Source organism: Homo sapiens, chromosome 12 (assembly GCF_000001405.40).
Source record: "Homo sapiens chromosome 12, GRCh38.p14 Primary Assembly".
NCBI lineage: Eukaryota > Metazoa > Chordata > Mammalia > Primates > Hominidae > Homo > Homo sapiens.
In genome coordinates this window covers 20,614,493-20,633,611 of record NC_000012.12, presented here as the reverse complement: position 1 = coordinate 20,633,611, position 19,119 = coordinate 20,614,493, and the positions used below count along the sequence as shown (strand labels likewise).

Genomic DNA, 19,119 nt, shown 5'->3' with positions numbered 1-19,119 from the left:
GATAAACAACAATAGTCAAATATTTCTACCTTCTGCTTATTTGTTTTGTGAAAATATGCATTTTGTTTGATACATAAATGCTGATATGCAGTGTACTACTTTCTTTTTTGTGAGAGAGTAATCAATACAAAGGATTAGAAAGTTCATTTGACTCTCATTCTCCTCCTCCTTTATCTAGATCATATTTGAGGTGAAAGTGATGGTAAAATTTTGTTAGATTATTTAGAGAATACTGGTATAGGCTGCTACCTACTTATAGTAGCCATTTTGCAGGTGTTGACCTATATTTAGACAAAAGTTATCTTCCCCAATAAATACCTTTCTGTCGGCTTAAAAGCCTCATTATGGGCCAGGCTGCTTAAAAGCTCATTATGGGCTCACGCCTGTAATCCCAGCACTTTTCGAGGCCAAGGCAGGTGGACCACCTGAGGTCAGGAGTTCAAGACCAGCCTGGCCAACATGGTGAAATCCCATCTCTACTAAAAATACAAAAATTGCCAGGCAGGGTGGTGGATGCCTGTAATACCAGCTACTTGGGGAGGCTGAGGCAGGAGAATCGCTTGAACCTGGGAGATGGAGGCTGCAGTGAGTGGAGATTGCACCACTGCACTCCAGCCTGGGTAACAGAGCAAGACTCCATCTCAAAAAAAAAAAAAAAAAAAGCCTCATTATTAGATTTATTTTATTTAATTGGGTTATGATATTTTTATGTCTAAACAGAACTTTAAGACAGCATAGGTTGAAATAGAATGATAGTATATGAATTTTATGTTTTGCTAAAAAATAAAAATTGACTTCTTTTTTTCAGATCGATCAGTTACTTGTTAAGGCCCTAAGGAAATGAACAAAAGAGGGGTGCATTTTGATGACTGACTACATAGGATGCTGGTTGAGAGAAACAGGCCCTAGATGTACCGTAAACCACCAAGAAAAACAAAGGTAAGAGAGGTGAGCAATGCCCTCTAACAGAGGGTGTTGGAGGAATGAAGTTTGACTGTTTTAAATATTAAACAGTAACCCCACAAATGGCCTGGCACAGGCCATAAACTGGCTCTTCCCTCTTCTGTCTTGTTTAGAAACTTCATGATTAGATTTTGATTCTGCATTTGCTGCTGGGTTCTTTCCTTCTGACTGATATTACAAAGGGTCTCAGGGGATTTTTTTGTTTGTTATTTAACCACAGACTACCCACTCTAAAATGAAAAAAGTAGTGATAGCTTATTGTTTAATATCTTAAATAACTCATCATTTTTTTTCCTGAATTGTGCTCGTGTGTGCACTAAGAGAAGAGGTAGGTAGACCGTATCTGCATACTAAGTAACTTTACTTTTCAACCCTTGAGTGTAAATAGAAAAACGTTACCTGTAAAATATTTCTAATTATTAAATCTGTCAGTTTGGGTTAGAGAATAAAAAGAAAATGATAGGACAAAAAGGGAAAAGAAAGGAGATGCAATTGGTAGGCTTACATTCTCAGACGAAGCTCAGGAGAAGTCGAGTTTATTAGCCTTAAACTTTTTCATTGCAAAATAATACCTAAAAGGACCATTTAAATTAGTACTTCAAATATGCCAGCTCTCATGCCAGAAAAATAGCTTGTTGCATAGACATTACAGCAGCCAAGAGACTGGGATTCAACGCCAAACTCTTCAAGTTCAGCAGGGGGAAACCACAACAATTAGTTGTGTGTTTCTGGAGCTCTCTGTGCCTACATGGGTGGCTGCCTTTAAGGCAATAATAAAACCTGGTTTGAATTACAGATTTATAAAGCCCAAACAAATAAAACACACACTACTGGATTTATAAACATTACTGAACAAGTAGACAGTGAAATCCTCTTGTTTTTCTCTGAAACCTTTTATACAAATCCCATTACATTCTTCCTGCTAAGAATACAAAAAAAAAAAAAAAATACACTATGATGAAAAAAGCTGCGTGAGTGGTAGAGCTTTTCTGAACATCTCTCTCCTTTCTTTAGGGGACTTATTTCCCAAAAGTCCGGAACCCACAGTGGGAGACTCTCCCTAAAAATGCTGAACCCAGATGTCCTTGATGAAGATTACTCCACTGGGCTTCATCTTGGCTCAGGGTGCATACAATAAAACAATGCTTCTTAATTGTGTTCTGCCAAACATTCGATCCATGGGCAATTCTTGGGTGTTAACCCAAAGAAATTGGTTCTGTGGTCGAATAAATTCAGAAAACACTAAATGAAACAACAAAAATAAATAAAGAGGGATTCTTTTAACAGAGCTTCTCAGAGGTTTTAATAAAGCCATGTGTGTTGTGAATTTCTAACAGGGATGTATGATATATCTTCTGAATATTTTACTACAGAACTTGCTCTTTTGTGGAAAAGAGATGAGATTAATATCCTGCAGAAATTATTTTATTAAAAAACTCATAGAGGGCAGCAGAATAACTTTTGCATAGTAGAATAACTTTGGCTCTGGGCAAACGAATGAAAATAATTTCTCATGTAAAAATGCCGGTAAAGATAAAGGAGGTAAAAATAAAAATTATAAATAACATTCATTTAATTTACAGAACTTATGAGTAAAAAATATGAAAATGAAAATTATGAGGCTTAATATAAGTTGCTATTTCTTAAAGCTGAATACAATGAAAAAATCTGAGTCTATGAGGTAATATTTGATACTAGAAAACCAACAAGTTACTCATTTATTCAAATAGTTATCCTCATCAACCTCAGAAATGAAATACTGTTTTATTCAAGGTACTCTCATAGTTAAAAACACTCAACTGTTTTTCTACTTAAAAAATACCATAATGCTTTAAGATAAATTATTCAAGCTGTTACTGAAGAACAATAAAAATACATTAACCAGTAAGAAGAGATAATTATTTCTTCGTGACAACATTGGCAAAATAATTACTCCAGCCATGCTAGGCCATTTTTTTCTTAACCTCTGTGATAGATAACACTTTGTAATTTTGTTTCAACATGATAGAATAGCACATACAATTGCTTAAATTTCATTCAGAGAACTATTTGAGTCCAGCCATCCTGTGCAATGTATTATTCACACATTTTAAAATTGCAAAAATGGGAAATGCAAACTGACAATTAAATATGCCTAATATCAATGTAACCCATTCCCTGGAGAACAAGTACAAACATTCCAACAAAATGAAGAATTACAACAGAATACTTGATATCATTTTTTAGTTATATATTTTCTATATTCCCCATCAGCAAACAGGCAACATATACAGCTAACAGTTTTGTATCCTCTCTAAAGATTGGCTGTATGAACTGCATGGATTCTAAACTTCATTAATAGAAAACTACTAAAACATAAGTTTTTATTGTAGCCTATTCAACACAAATCACATTATCCTATACTTGGTTGTCTAATACTTTGGCAAACCTACCCCAAGCTGCGTGGGCTGGTGGTAGGTATTTCTAGGGGAAAACTATCATCGTTTTTATTATTAAACTTCAGTTCATAAAAAATCCTTACCTGCTACATATAACAGGTGGAGTCAGGATTTGAGGGGATAGGTCTGGGGCACTCTGAGTGTAAGTTAAGGCCCTGTGAGAACCTAGGCTTTGTTTGGCAGTTGTGTCAGCAGATTCTGGAAACTGCACTGCAGAAATTTTGCTGACCAGGCTGCTGGCAGGAGTCCCTTGGAGAGGTGAGGAGCAGGGCGATGAAAGAGGTGAAATTTTAGCGAGGGCACCTGAGAAAGAATGAGAGTTAAGTAACTAAACAAATGTCTTTAAAATGCAAAATTGCAACTGTTGAACTTCACCTGGACTCTTACAAACTCAGTAACAACCACGTGCCTGCTCAGGTCACCGGGCTGGCCTCCTCCACATACCAACATCTGAAGCCAGTGTGGTTGGGGTGTCTCCACAGCATTAAATGGGAGGAATGAATCATCATAAAAAAAATAGTGGCAATGTTGGCACATACAGCCAAAGCCCTGGTGTCGTGGAGTAACTTCAGGACAGAAGGATATTATTTTCTCCTCCCATTTTTGTTTCTTCTTGTCATTCTGACATGGAAATAATAGTTAAAATTTTCTCATGTGTTTACTTTCTCTTAGGTTGTGAAGGTTTTAGCAGGAACAGGATCTGCTATTGTTTTAAACGTTAACCAGTATCTGGGGGCAGAGTTCAGCAGGCATCAGATGCTTAAAATATGTAAATACAGAAGATGCATTACTGAGAGGAAATTAACCTTCTTAACCATTCGCAGTTTCAGTGAAATAAGACCTTTCGGTGTGAAAGAGTGCTTTGATCAAAATAATTTTTGAAGAAAACATTTTAAAATGTAATATAATCCATTTCAGAGCAAACAATAGACCTAAAGTTTCCATTTCAAGTATGGGTATTTGGGCCAAACTGTCTGTATTTACTCTAGATTGTAAGAATTTTACAGGATACTGGCTTAGATTTCAAAACGTGGCTGTTGGAAGACCAGGACGATGTCTTTTGAAGTTACTCTCTCCCAAACACAGAGAAGGCAGCCTGCAGTTAAAATGGAAAAAAGGAGAGAAATAACTTCTGCCTAACAACCTGCTTACTGGTTTTCATGATTTTATGGCTGAACAATGTAATGTAGGGCAAATGAAATGAAATTATTAAAAGTCGTTGTCTATTTCTCACCACTTAGGAACATTTACAGCCATCCACCTTCACATCATCAAATTATGTGTGTGGTTAGCTGGCAGCTGGCTTACAGCAAAGTTTGCTTCCAGGATCCAGCTTCCTCAAAAGTTTGAGTTGTCATACCAAAGGTTTTCTGGTCCACTGAAAAGAATATTAAGTTTGTTGAACGATTTTGTGTGTTCGTGTGTAATTTTCTTTTTAATTTCTTGTTGGCGCTGTTATTTCTTTTTGTCGTTGTTGTTGTTAAAGATGAGAAATCTCACTCTCCCCTTGCTTCAGTGTGAAGAGCAGCAACCCCTTCTAGTTCTTTCTCAACATATCTATTGTTAGTTCCTAATCAGCAGCTCAACCCCCTCCCAGCCTTTATACTAAGCAAACGAAACCACTTAGACCCAGAGAGGTTAAAAAACCCTCCCAAGGTCACAGTACTAGTACATGGGAGAATATAGAGTAAACCCAGCTACTCTTAGTAAAATGCAGCTTATAAACCAGTACCTCTATCAGAGACTATCCAAGGGGGAAGTAAAACCCATGGCGTATTAGGCAGCGTTTGCATTGCTCCTTACGTCATGCCTGATGGTTTTTATTTCGGTTTCTACGTCTATTAAAAAGACTCATTTATTTTTCCAAAGATAACGACAAACCTTCACATTACATAGTATCCTGAGCCAAAAACAAAACAAAAAATTAAGTTCACAAAGGTTTTAACTCAGAATTTCCCAGTCAATGTATGATTCTGCACAGCAAGTGGGTTATAAGTTTGCTGTGAATTATTTAATGGTTGAAAATATTTTTAAAAAAGGAAATATTTTATTTGGAAACTCTAGAAAAAACTCAATTTTTAATATTATCTCTAATAGCTCATAATTAGTTTTTCTTATTATAATTTTATAAAATAAAGGAAGTCTAGTTTTCAAACTTGAAATCCCTTCCCATTTCTCTAATGCTACGATATTCACAAATACTATTACACATATATGGGTGCTCTGATGTAAAGGTTAAAAAGGGTTGGTCTAGTTTTGACCACTTTTTGGATTTAGACAGGGACTCCAGATAATCTTAGAAAGGCACTGTAGCCGTTAAGGAGCTGAATCCTAGTATGATGTGGTAGAAAGTTTACCGAGGTATCTGTACTGAGTATCTCAATGATTTCTTCATCCAACAAGTAGTTATTGTGAGTCTTGCTCCACGGATGGAGTAGGTTATAAAATAAAAACCCTGCTCTAATGGAGCTCCCACTTTTTTAGGGGAGACAGAAACTAAAAACTAAAGTCAATAAAAAAGAAAATTAACTTAAATTCAAGTAATAGGAAGAAAACAATGCACAGAGTAGAAGGCAGGGAAGAACAGAAATGCTCTTTAGATAAGGTGGACTGAGAAGGCCTCTCTGGCTGGGAAAGGGTGGGGGTGGGTAAAATTTGAATAGAGGCCTCATGAAATACAGAAGACATTTAGAGAAGTAGCTGGGGAAAGCATGTTCAGGAAAGAGGGACATACCTGGGGGATGTCAGAGGAGCAGTCAGGAGGTCAGTGGCTGGCAGCTTAGCAAAAAGCAAAAAGAGGGGCAGGGAACGTGGTCAGAGAGGTTGCTGGGCAAGTCTGGATAGGGTTGGGTAGGGCCAGGGCAAAGTTTTATTAGGTTGGTGCAAAAGTAATTGTGGTTTTTGCAATGAAAAGTAATTGCAAAAACAGCAATTAAAAGTAATTGCTGTGTCATAAGAAAAAGAGATTCCTGATAGACACTGTGTTAGGCAATTCCTTAGCTGTTCTCATAGTAAACTGTGAGTTTTGGGACAGTTTTCTACACAGTTTTTTTTTTTTTTTTTTTAACAGAACAATAGTTCAAAGCCCATGAGAACATTGTCCATTTCTGTCTTGACACCCTGTTTTTTCTGAAGGCAATTTATGAGAAGAGTGATTTTTTCATTGCTAAGTTTTAGTAGCTGCCAGCTGATTGCTTCAGATACATGCAATTCACTCTCAAACACACATTTTAAAATTCACACAACCATTAGAGTTCTTGGAACTCACGGATTAACTAAATTTAAACAAACAAGCAGATTTTAAGACATCAAATTTACTGCCTGGGATGAAATTTAAAATAAACCTGTAAGAGAGAAGCTCTGCTTCTATAGTGTTTGTCTACATATTTTGAACACTTTTAAAAGCATAACTCGGCTAGGCGCGGTGGCTCATGCCTGTAATCCTAGCACTTTGGGAGGCCGAGGAGGGCAGATCACTTGAGGTCAGGAGTTCGAGACCAGCCTGGCCAACATGGTGAAACCCCATCTCTACTAAAAATACAAAAATTAGCCTGATGTGGTGGTGCATGCCTGCAATCCCACTACTCAGGAGGCTGAGGCAGGAGAATTGCTTGAACCCAGGAGGCAGAGGTTGCAGTGAGCTGAGATCCCACCACTGCTGCACCCCAGCCTGGGCGACAGAGCAAGAATCCATCTCACAAAAAATACATAAATAAATAAATATAAAAAAAGTGTAACTCTTGGCAACAATCATGAGAAGCATGGATATTTCTATTCTGCAGGTGAGAAGCTAAAGTTATAAAAGTATAAGTTCTCTTTTTTTTTTTCCAAAGCCAAACTACTATTTTTCCTAGTGTGCATTATCTTAGTTTACTTAAAGTTTAAAAACAGAAAGAATTAGGATGTGCATGCATATTTTGAAGACCGTATCGGTCTTCAAAAAGATAGGGAGATAAATGCAGATAATAACCAAATTTTCTTTATAGAAAGGATAAACTATAAATAAATTATTTCAGATACAGAAAGAGGACAGTCTAAGGAATAGGGATGAATAACCTTTGGAAGTTTTTAAAATTTTCTAAAATGCTTTCAATGTAATCATGTCTAAAGTTAGAGGGATGACCGTTAAAACCTTTGAAAATCTCATCTAATTTTACATCGCACACTCACACATTTACACACTCACCCATGAGTGAAGAGATTCCGATAAACATGCATTCTCTCAAGTATATTAATGTTTATCTTCACTTCATATTTGAGTAATTTTAGCAGATTCCAGGAAGAAGACATAGCTCATGAAATATAAATTTTTGAATGATTCAAACTGTCCTAATGTGAAATACTTAAAATCAAAACATTTAAAAACAAAAAATTAAAAATATAATTTTAAAAATAAAGTCTAAAATGCCAACTCCTTTGAGTAATTCGGCCTTTAATTCCTTGTTCCTGAGGGCATGAGAAAATGTGTGTCAAGACACAAGGAATTTTGGGCAATCAAAGAGAGAAAATAAACAATACTACAGGGGAATTATTTAAGTGAATCCATCTGTTTTGTGCTATAAAACTCTCTCAGTTTAATTTTAATGGAACAAAAAAGGAACCAGCTTGTCTGATAAAGACATCTCTTTTTTTCCATGCCCAGGTGAAAATGGATAGCCCGAATATTTTTTCCAAAGCAGAAATTGCATCTAAAGAGAATGCCAAAGAAGAAGAATCACAATACCATGATTAAAGTTCTCTATATTTTCAAATTTTGTATAGGAAAAACAGAGTCTAGATTATAGGTGTAGAGATATCTCTTATCACTGCAGTCGGCAGCCAAACTTACAAGAATCCGGGAAAGGACTACTGCAAATACAGTAACGATAAATTCAAGGAATTTTTAAAGCAGAATAATATCATGGTAGCTCCACAATGTCAGTGACTCATACTAGAAGAGCAAAATTGAAAATACAAATTATATTTGAATCTCCTGCTTTTAAGCTTTTATTAAAGGAGTCCTATGTGATTTCGTTCATTTATTTTATATTAGTAACTGCATAATAATTTGTGTTTCAGCTATTTAAAATTAACATTGATTGACTGAACTAGAGGACACGCTGTTTACTTGATTTGCGCAAAGAACAGATTTCATTAGCCCTCTCTGGAAACAGGGTATTTATCTTTCTGTATGCCTCTTCTTACTTCATACTCGCTTTCCCTCCGCCTCATTGCCTATTGCTGCTACATGTTTCCTCAGACTCTCTTCACATTTCATTTGATTCCATTTGCTTACACTCTTTGCCACGAGGGGGCTCTTCCCAGCTTCTTTCCATGGAGTTTATGGAAAACCAGGATGCATCACAGTCAACTGCATCAAACATGTCACAACCACTTAGCTCCATCAACCCAAACAGGGAAGCAAGGATTTTAAAGCAGAAGGGCCCATCTGATTAGGGAGGGTTGTAATCTCTTTAGGCTCTCTGATTCTTGATAGATGTGTTTGTCTCTTTTGGCTGAACTTTAGGAATTTAATTAGTTGGATTCAGCATGCCTGGGATATAGGTTATTTTATAAACTTTTAGCTGTGCTGTGACAGCTGTCTAAAGATGCCACAATGCAAAATCCACTCCAAAATGATCATGATAGAAATGCCTTATGCACTTGATGGCAAGAATGGAAGGGGGCTCTTGCTATGCCTGTGGCTCTCATTCCTACCACCTGCCCATGTGGTATCTTATGTGGACATTCCTTCCCTTTTACATTTTGCTCCTTTGCTCTTTCTTCTAGAGTGAAGTCATACAAACTGGGGATCAGGACACAGGAATATGAGGCTGTTCCATCACTTGATCTGATATTTCCAGGGTCTGCCCTAACCATAATTTTCAGCTTCTTGATCTTATCATGTTGGTTATTCAATATTTTTTATGTTATTACTTAACCGAAGAAACAGGAAGAGAAAACCAAACCCTTCCATTATCTTGTACCCACCCAAGGACAGAACCCAAAATATCCTAGTTTTAAATTATGACAATTTGTCATCCTCATTTTTTTCTAGTATGAAGTCATTAGGACAAAAGAAAGTATTCAGGATTAATTGCATGACCCAGAGAAAGCAAATTACTTAACCTTCTTTTCCCTCAGTTTCCTCATCTGAACCCCCTTTTTGAGCTACACATGGATTTAGAACACTTAAATTTATATTTCATCTCTTGAATTACGTATTATTACTGTCTGAAATTTTAGTTCTGTCCTTAAAAAATCTTATAAAAACTATTCACAAATCTGGAAATACTATTATTTATGAATTTAATGTTTGTTTGGATTGACCCATGGTTTTCAGATTTGTTTAACATTTTCATTAGATCTCAAACTTTCTCTTCTTCTTCTTCTTTCTAGAATACATCCATCATAAATTCTTTCTAGAATACATCCATCATAAATTCTTTCTAGAATACATCCATCATATATTCTTTCTAGAATATATCCATCATATATTCTTTCTAGAATATATCCATCATATATTCTTTCTAGAATATATCCATCATATATTCTTTCTAGAATATATCCATCATATATTCTTTCTAGAATATATCCATCATAAATTCCTTTAGTAAAGATTTGGCGGGTGGTAAAGTTTTGACTTCTTTCAAATTGTCTTTAGTTCACTCCTATTCTTGTAAGATGCATCTGCCAGGCACAAAATTTTAGGTTACCATATTGTTTCAGAAATTTGAAGAAAATATTCTGCTGTGTTCTGACTGCCAGTATTTCTGACAACTCTGCTCTCAGCCTGACTGCCTTTTCTGAAAAGGAAATTTGTCTTTTCTCTGGTAGACCTTAGGATTTTTGTTTGTGTATATCTTTGGTGTTGTGTAGTTTCACTATTTTGTATCTACGTGTGAGTTTCTTTCCATTTACTAGGCTTCACCTAAGTATTTTTTGTCTTCTATCTGCTACTAAAACTATGATTACATATATCATGTACATTAGACTCATTTTTCTATATCTCCTAAAATCTATTATACTTCCCAATTCTTCATCTGTGTTGCTTTCTGGATAATTTCTTCCGATCTTTCTCTACCCAGTTTAATAATTCTTTCTTCAGTAGTCTACTATGCTATTTAATATTTCCTTGACTACATTTCCAAAAGTTACATTTAGCTGCTCTGCAGTTATGTCTTTTCTCATTGCTATTATTTTTCCTTAAATATGTAAATTTTTAAATTAAATTTTAATTTAAATATTTTAACCCTTTTACAGATCTAGAAAGTTATATTTTTGTTTCTGTTAACTCAAACTCATGGTGTTTCTTTGTGCAATTAGTGATCCTGGTTGTAAGCTCCATGTTTGAATCTGATCTGATAAAATCTCATGGCCCTTAACTGGTGATGCTTCCCTTCCAAAAGTATCCATATATATTTTTGTAGGGAGCCAAGGGGTCCTACATACCTAAAATCACTTTAGCACCCCTTTAAGAGTCTTGGGTTTAATGTGGAATTCTCAAATGCAGTTTCTCTACCTTGCTGGGGTCCCAGATGATTCTCCTTATTACTGAGCAAATCCGTATTTGCCTTCAGGAATATCTCAATTTAAGTATTTGCCTACATTAGCCTACATTGCCTGGCCCTGATGAAAGCTCAATTTTATTAGCAGGTCAATAATGACTTCTAAGTGACAAAATTTAATGAACATTTCTAAAGAGCAGAGAGGACCAGATTAGTTGTTGGAAAAGTAGATTACCTTAATGGTCTATTTTACTGATGTAATTCCAATAAAATGGTACAAAAAAGCTATCGAGGCAAAGCACACAATTCTGAGGGACTAGGTTCCCATAAAGAAGAGAACCTCAGAAAGGTGAGCCAAAATCCTGCAAATTGTTCTTGCCTTCATAGCATGATTTACTGACTATTGGCATGGAGTAAGAAGTGAAGGATCCAGACAGAGGGGTGCAGCTATTTGGGAGGCAAGCCAGCAGAGCTTCTAGCAATGTCATGAGGCTGGTGACATAAAAATTGGAGTTTGGGGTTGCCATGGAAGCCAGAACTTGAATGTTTCATATCTCAGTGGGAAGTGGGCAGTTTTCCTTTTAACCATTTGATGAACTCTTAAACTGCTAAAGGCAGAAGATTAAGAAACTAAGCAGGAAGTTACTGAAAATCTCATTGATATTTTCTGTAATACTGAGAAGTGAAACCATGAAGTTAGATTCCAAAAAGGAAAGGTCAGAGGAAATCTCCCAGGTTCTTAATTGGGCTTCTAGGGGAAAGGCAATTCAGAGACGGAATCTGACAAAAACTCCTTTTACAGTTTTGGGTGAGCAAGGACCCTGAACAAATGAGGTAGTCTTCCCCGATATCATTTCATGTTCCCATTTAAAGCTTTATTATTCTTAATTTTGATATCTAAATTCCTTATCATAGCTCATGTGTAGTAAATAAAACACTTTCTTGAATTCATATATATCATACTCCTGAAAAATAATTTTAACAGACACTAAAAAATTGGAATTTCTATTATGAGATGATGCTACCACAGATGATCCTTGATGGTAAAAGTGATTTCCTATGCATCTAATTAGTTCAAGATAGGAAATCTGATACAACAACTTTGAAGGAATCTGTATTATCACATAAGGTAGAAATTTAAATAACTAATTGGTTATTGAGACTTCTAAAAAATAACTAATTGGTTATTAGAATAGACAAACCAAACATATCTGAATATAGGGCACCCTCAGAATATTTCAACGCTTAAGGTCTGGTTTACTCTAGAACTCCACACTCACAGTATGAACCCTTCTCCAGTTAAGTTACTTACCTGGTCGACTTTGCTTTTTAGCCTTTACATGGTTAGCTGCAGAAATAGCATAGGATGAAGTAAAGGATCTGCTTTTGGTGAGGGTCATCATCACTGGATTATTCCAAGAATCAGGACTAAAAGCACCAGAAAGACAGAATTAAAAGAAAATTAAACAAATTATTCATCAGTTATTGGGCCAGTCTTGCCAGAACCCAACCATCATTTCTCTAATAGATTTGCCAATCTGAGTATTGGTTCAGGTTCAGTGACAGAACCACTGTACTTCCAAATGATGAAACAGATTATGTAAAAACAATCTCTGTTGCAGGGATATAGCAGTTACTCATCAAGCATACTGGGTTAACAAAGAGGAAAGATAACTTTCTTATTATCCAATTAATAAAAATTAAACACCTTCTCACTGTACTCTAAAATTACGTTCCTCACAGATTTTCTAAAAGAGGCTTACAGATTAACTGGTTAAGATGCGGGTGAATTTACATAAGCTGTAAGTGTCATAATGTTTACTTCAGTACTCTATTATTTTTGGTGGATCTGTATTCAAAAATTGAATGACCATGAAATCATTCATAAATAATGGTGTTTTTTTTTTGCATTATTTCCTTGTGACGGAAATGATCTAGTCAAATTACCTTTTTACAAGGGAATTTGTAAAAAGGGACATGCCAACAATGGAGCTGATGCTAAACACACTGATGATAGGAACTAGGAGAAAGGCAATGGAGAATCTTCCTCTAGCAAATGCTTTTACCAAGATGTACTTGGTCTGCCTAGGTTGCTTATTGCAAATAAATGTGGAATTAATAGATTCATGGAAGACTGAACTAGAGAATGTTATGTAAGTCATGCAATGATTGTGATATAAATTTTGGAGGTATTCCAAGACAAAATTTCTCTGCATGTGTTGCTTAAAACTTATACATGTTGAATCTGAAATAGACTCCATCCTAATGTGGGAGAGAAGGGAATTTCGAAAGTTGTGTTGACAATCTTGGACTGCTCCAAGGGAAAAGTGCTTGGTCTGTGTTTTGCTAACACCTGTGTCCTTTCAAGCACTAGTAAATTTGGTACTGGGTACAATCTATAATTTACGTAAATATGATTTGACAATTTGATCTTTTGCCAATCTTAGATTGGCAATGTAAGCAGGATGTGCTTGGTCTGTCTGGGTAGCCTATTGTAAATAAACCTAAAATTGATAGAATTATGGGCTCATGGATGCATGGAGATTGCCATATAAGCTTATAATTAATACGATATAATTTGGAGAGGTTCCAGAGCTAAAATGGTTCCCTCTGTGCAAGTAATATTATGCATGCATTGCTTAGAACACTGCATGCTAAATCCAAACCAGAACATGTGCTAATGTGGAATAAAGGGACTTTCAGAAAATTGTACTAATAGACCTCTCAAAGGAAAGAATGCTAAGCATGGGTCTTACTATTGTCTGTATCCATTAATTACTAGTAAATTCGGCAATGGGTAAGATGTGTAATTTGTGTTGAGGTCAATTTGACACTCTGACACTTGTTATCTCAATTTTTTTTTTCCATTTCAGAGAGATTTTTCTTCAACTACTGACCCAGGTATTTTAAAACTTCATCTTTTCTCCTTACTTCTAATAGCAGTTTTCCATATATGAGGACATTTGAAATGTGGTATGACCTTCAGCAATTATAAAATGCAATTAAGTAAGGCATAAAAATATTTCTTTGACATCTTCCTCAGAAAGCACATCCTAGGTATTTCACAAGTTCTTGGCATTTAGGAAATAATGAGCTGAAAGAAACTTTGGATCTGAAACAGATAACAACACTGACTATTTTCTCGTGATGCTGGTCCCTTTTAATTCATTTTGCTGGATTGACTAACTGATTACTGTGAAGAAATATTATGTAATGTATATGTGGCCCAAATGTTTGCAGTTCTCATTACATAATACAGTGAATAGGTTATTACTTTTACTTTTCTAAGTAGGCTTTTTAAAGACAATGCCTTACAGTAACTGAATGTTTTAATATATCAGAAAGATATATTATGAAGGCTATCTCAACAATTTACTATTTTTTTCAAATAAAAACATTTAAAATGTGTTCATTTTCAAGTTTGCAAAATACACTAGAGTATCTTTAATAAATGCAGATTTAATGAACTCAAGATAAATAACATCCTAGTCATATCACATTCTTAATACACTAAATAATTGTATTTTACTATTAATACAATAAATCAATGTATTATATATAAATGCATTATAGTTCACAGGTGCTTTCATATATTGCTGTGTGAGACCCTCACAGTTTTCAGCTTTTCATCGCTGTCCTTTATTTCCTGATTCCTGTTTAAATTTCATGAATATGAAATAATTTGGATTCTGTAAAGCAGAACAGCTTAGGAAAGGCTTTACACGGTTTTCTCATGCTGGCACAGCAGAGGAAAATTATCTATGTGCCTGTGATGGAAGATCTCAATCTTCTTCCCAAAGGTGGTCTTATGCTCTTATTATCCCCGTAATGACTCCATTCTAAGTCCTTAAAGTCTGATCAGGTAACAGTCTCTTTTGCCAAGTTTACTGCCTTCTTTTTGCCTGAATACACAGGCAGGGGTCAATTCCAAGGTCAACTTGGAATCATTTAGGGTCTGATTTATTTCAGCTTTTCCTATTTCTCTAAAGCCTATTTTTTAAGCACCTACTTGTATTCTTCCATCTAATTTACCCCTCCAATTATGTCATAGTTCCCCTTTTTCCTAATGACTCCTTGTAATTGGGTACAGAGATTCTGGCAGGCTAATGACTTGCCTCTAAGAACACAGTACATTTCATTTCTGAGTGGTTGGTAGGGCCAAGACCCTTCAGATTCTCAGTCCAGTGTGCTTTCTACCAGACTGTATTTAAAATTACCCAGGGGTAAATTATCCAGCTGTATATATAAAGGAATATGAGTTAAGTTGTGTTTCTAATTTTTATTATTTCTCATTCTTATTCTTCTTTTGATCAATGTAGTCCTTCCTCAAAGAAACCCAATAAATGAAAAGATATGGAAAGGAATAAATAAATAAAAGGGCTAAAAGGGAAGCAATTTCAGGGCTAAAACTCAAAAGAAGGTTTTGACTGTGATTTATAATCAAGCCAAAACTAGCTGTATTTAGTGGTGGTACTACTGCCACTTACTTATAAATAGTTTTCCCTTAAAGGGATCAAATTCTATTCAGAATGAATTTCCTTTCTTCACAATGATGAAGGAATTATATTGCTTTCAGATTTTTACATCAGTACTTTTCATAGGACAGTGAGATTATGAGATAGTATATTAGGCAGTGAGGAAAATGAATGTCCAGACAAGACATCTACGAGTATTTTCAGGAATGAGAGAATGAGAATGAATGGAATTGTATGCTATTCCTTATTTCTATTGTAAGTATTTTCCTTATTTCTATTGTAAATATTTGGATGATCCATTTTACAAAGAAGAATGACAAGATCCTTGGGCGTTAAGTTCTTAAAAGTCCTTGGAACTTCCTTCCTTGTCATCATTTCAATTTAAACCCTCAAGTTCATTTAATTGACTAAGAGAAGAGAAAAGCAGGGGAGATAGGATTTGACTACAAGTAACAAAGAATAACAGAATAAAAGGCATTTGAGAAGGCATGAGTGGATTTTTCATAGAGTCATTCTATGGGAAGGAAATCATGAAGCATTACCTATACTATGACAGGAAACTTAGCAAGTTGCACTGGCAAAATGGGCAGACTCTAATGATACATGCTGAAAACATAATTCATTTTATTAAGCAATAGTTAACTATAATACTATTAGCATTTATCAGTATTTGCTGCTGTAGCAATTGTCAATGATCAATATTTTTAGAGAAAAATATTGATCATTGACTTCTAATTAATTTCAACCGTCAGGAAATTTTCATGAAACACTACATAATCTCTTCTTGTCTCATTTACAAGTTTTACAAAAGTCCAGGTAATAGGATGGAGTGGGATTATACTGACATATAAAATATACAATGACATTTGAGTTTGTTTCCAATTCTATAGATGTCTTAGAATACAAATAATATGGAAGAAACCAATTAAAAATTTTTAATCAAAAAAGAAAGGTCAGCAGTCATTAAATTCTTATCATCTGAAATATTTCTATTAGTCTCAGTATGGTGGTTTATTTATATCCCAGGCTAACGATCAGGAGAAAATTACTTCTGATATTGCTGTCATATAATACGACATAGATGTGGATATTTTTTCATTCATTAGGTCATTGATAAAACTTATACATGTGTTTCAAAAACCTGAAATCATACGGTAAATGTTCTCACAATTAATGAATTTGAATAAAGTAAGATAAGTATAATATTTTTATTCTAAATAGAAAAGGACACAGTATCTCCCTCTAAATGCACTTTCCTTAGCTATTTTCTTCAAGATTCTTTTTAGATGTTAATATAACCTTTTCTTTAGTTTTGATAATTCTGGCTTTTAAGTTGCTTTCAAAAATTGGAATTAATATCCTCAGAAAAGTTTAAATTACCAAATGTTTGAACATATCTAGGTGTTCTTAGGATGATCTACTTTTGATTTGCTCTTTTGTCTTTTGTACAACGCTAAGACAGCTGGTCTTGTGGGAGGCTAATGACTGGGCTGGGGGATCTCATATCAAATGCAAATGTCAAGTTGTATGCTTTTGATTTAAGGGTCTCGGTATGAATCTCAATGTAGATAAAATTACCTACCTTTATCCTGGGCTTAACCCTTCCCATCTAAGGTCACAATGGCAGAGATCACATCAAGTCACTCTTTCCACTTATATATAAGGCCACACAACAGATGTTAAGCCTAATTATCTGATGTTAACCCCTATACTGCTCTGCATTTGAACCATGTACCCTTTCCATCTTCAAAGCTGACCTCCAACCAAATGTAATTGGTTAGCCTTCCTTCTCCTGTAATTTATAACTCATTTTTGGCAAGTAACTTCTCTAAGAGACATTAAACCAGCAGGAGCCGTATGCCACCTGGATGAAGGTGCTTCCTGCAGTTTGATGCTGGTGCTGCGGTCTCTCCGTACTGGTGCAGGCTCCAAGGTGGGTAGACCTGTGGCCGAGGTGGTGGTGGTCCAAGTGGAAGAAACTCGTCTCAACAAGCCAGGAGGCAAACTCCTTCTCAGGCGCTAGGAAAGAGACTTGACTTCATTACCCAGAATATTTTATATCTCTTAAATTTTATGTAATATAATAGAAGGAAACAAGCTTTTAATTAGAAGTGAATTGACTAAATTACATTGGTTTAATATCACCTATCTATCTAAAATTTGAGTGCTCAGAAATTTAATAAAAGACTCTCTGGCCAAAATGAATGCATATTATAAAAATAAGCAGTCAGGCGTAGTGGCTCACGCCTGTAATTCCAGCACTTTGGGAGGCCAAGGCGGGTGGATCATCTGAGGTCAGGAGTTTGAGACCAACCTGGCCAACATGGTGAAACCCCGTCTACCAAAAATACAAAAATTAGCTGGGCGTGGTGGTGGGTGCCTGTAATCTCAGTTGCTCGGGAGGCTGAGGCAGGAGAGTCACTTGAGACTGGGAGGCGGAGGTTGCAGTGAGCTGAGATCACACCACTGCACTCCAGCCTGGGTGACAAGAGCAGAAGTCTGTCTAATAAATAAATAAATAAATACATAACCAACCTTTTAGGGTCTTTATTTCAATGCTTATACAAATATGTGATTATAGGAGTGAGAGTCAATTGCCTCTGGGATAATTTTATAGTTATATTTATTCAACAGGATTTACACACCTATACACACATATTAGTTATTATGAGAAGTTCTTCCTCAAAAGTCACTTGTTTGGGGGCATGAATTAATTTATATCACCTTGCACCACAGTCATACCCCCAAGTATTATTGACTTTATTATCTTCATTCACAAATGAAAGGAGCTCAAGTCTTTCATAAAATGCACCACTTCTCTTATGATTAATGTAACTTAGACAACAGAGATATGGGTAATGTCATCAGTGTCAACTCCTCTTAATAGGAGACGCTGCTGGCCAACCTGCTGTTCCCCTTCTTATTTCTTCTCCCACCATATCCTAAACAGGACATGTAGCATCATCTGCACTGAGACAAGAGTCTGGGATCACTAGGATGAGCACCAACACTCTAAAGTGGTTCTTGACCTTAAAAGTTAAACTGGGCCAGGCGCAGTGGCTCACGCCTGTAATTCCAACACTTTGGGAGGCCAAGGCGGGTGGATCACTTGAGGTCACGAGGAGTTTGAGACCAGCCTGGCCAACATGCAGTGAGCGAAAATCACGCCACTGCACTCCAGCCTGAGCAACAGAGTAAGACTCCGTCTCAAAAAAAAAAAAAAAAAAAAAAAGAAAGAGAGAAAGAAAGAAAAAAAGAAAAGAAAAAGTTAAACCGAAGGTCTTTTTCCTATAACTTCAGCAACAGTCATAACACACAGAACCACAACCCACTTTTATCTGCGGCTAATCACTCCTAATAAACCAACCACATAGGCATAGTTCACAAAGACATTCTGCTCTTCCAAAGAAGGTAAAAAATTTTGAGAAGTGAATTATATGTCACCTTGGGATTTAAGAATAGCTCTGATATTAAATAGTTTCCAGTGTCTCTTAAACATCTGAATGTGCATCTTAGAAGGTAATTCAGTTGGAAGAGAAAACTCAAACACTCTTAAATACCAGATTTCTTGCCTTAAATCTGTCACTAACCTCAGGTCTAATTTGAGACCTGAAGGAACCAGTTAATCTCTCTCTCCATTTCCTTACTATCATATTATACTTAGGTATATCTTTATCAGGGAATTTCATATTGGAAGGAAACTATGTAAATATGTTATTGACAAAGTTATGAAGATCACATTCCTGAGAGAAGAGA

General features: G+C 35.7%; 1 protein-coding gene across 5 annotated transcripts in view; it reads right to left on the bottom strand.

Annotated features, from left to right (window-relative positions):
- The window catches only part of PDE3A (phosphodiesterase 3A), a 320,047-nt gene that overhangs the window by 54,972 nt on the left and 245,956 nt on the right, over positions 1 to 19,119 (bottom strand). For 4 of the 5 annotated variants that reach the window (NM_001378408.1, NM_000921.5, NM_001244683.2 and 1 more), the window contains 3 exons: positions 17,228 to 17,382; positions 12,201 to 12,316; positions 3,485 to 3,704 (listed from right to left, as the gene is read on the bottom strand). In NM_001378408.1, the coding sequence (NP_001365337.1) occupies positions 3,485 to 3,704; positions 12,201 to 12,316; positions 17,228 to 17,382 (491 nt within the window). The remainder of the gene's footprint in view (positions 1 to 3,484; positions 3,705 to 12,200; positions 12,317 to 17,227; positions 17,383 to 19,119) is intronic. The other variant, NM_001378407.1, reaches the window with a different exon arrangement.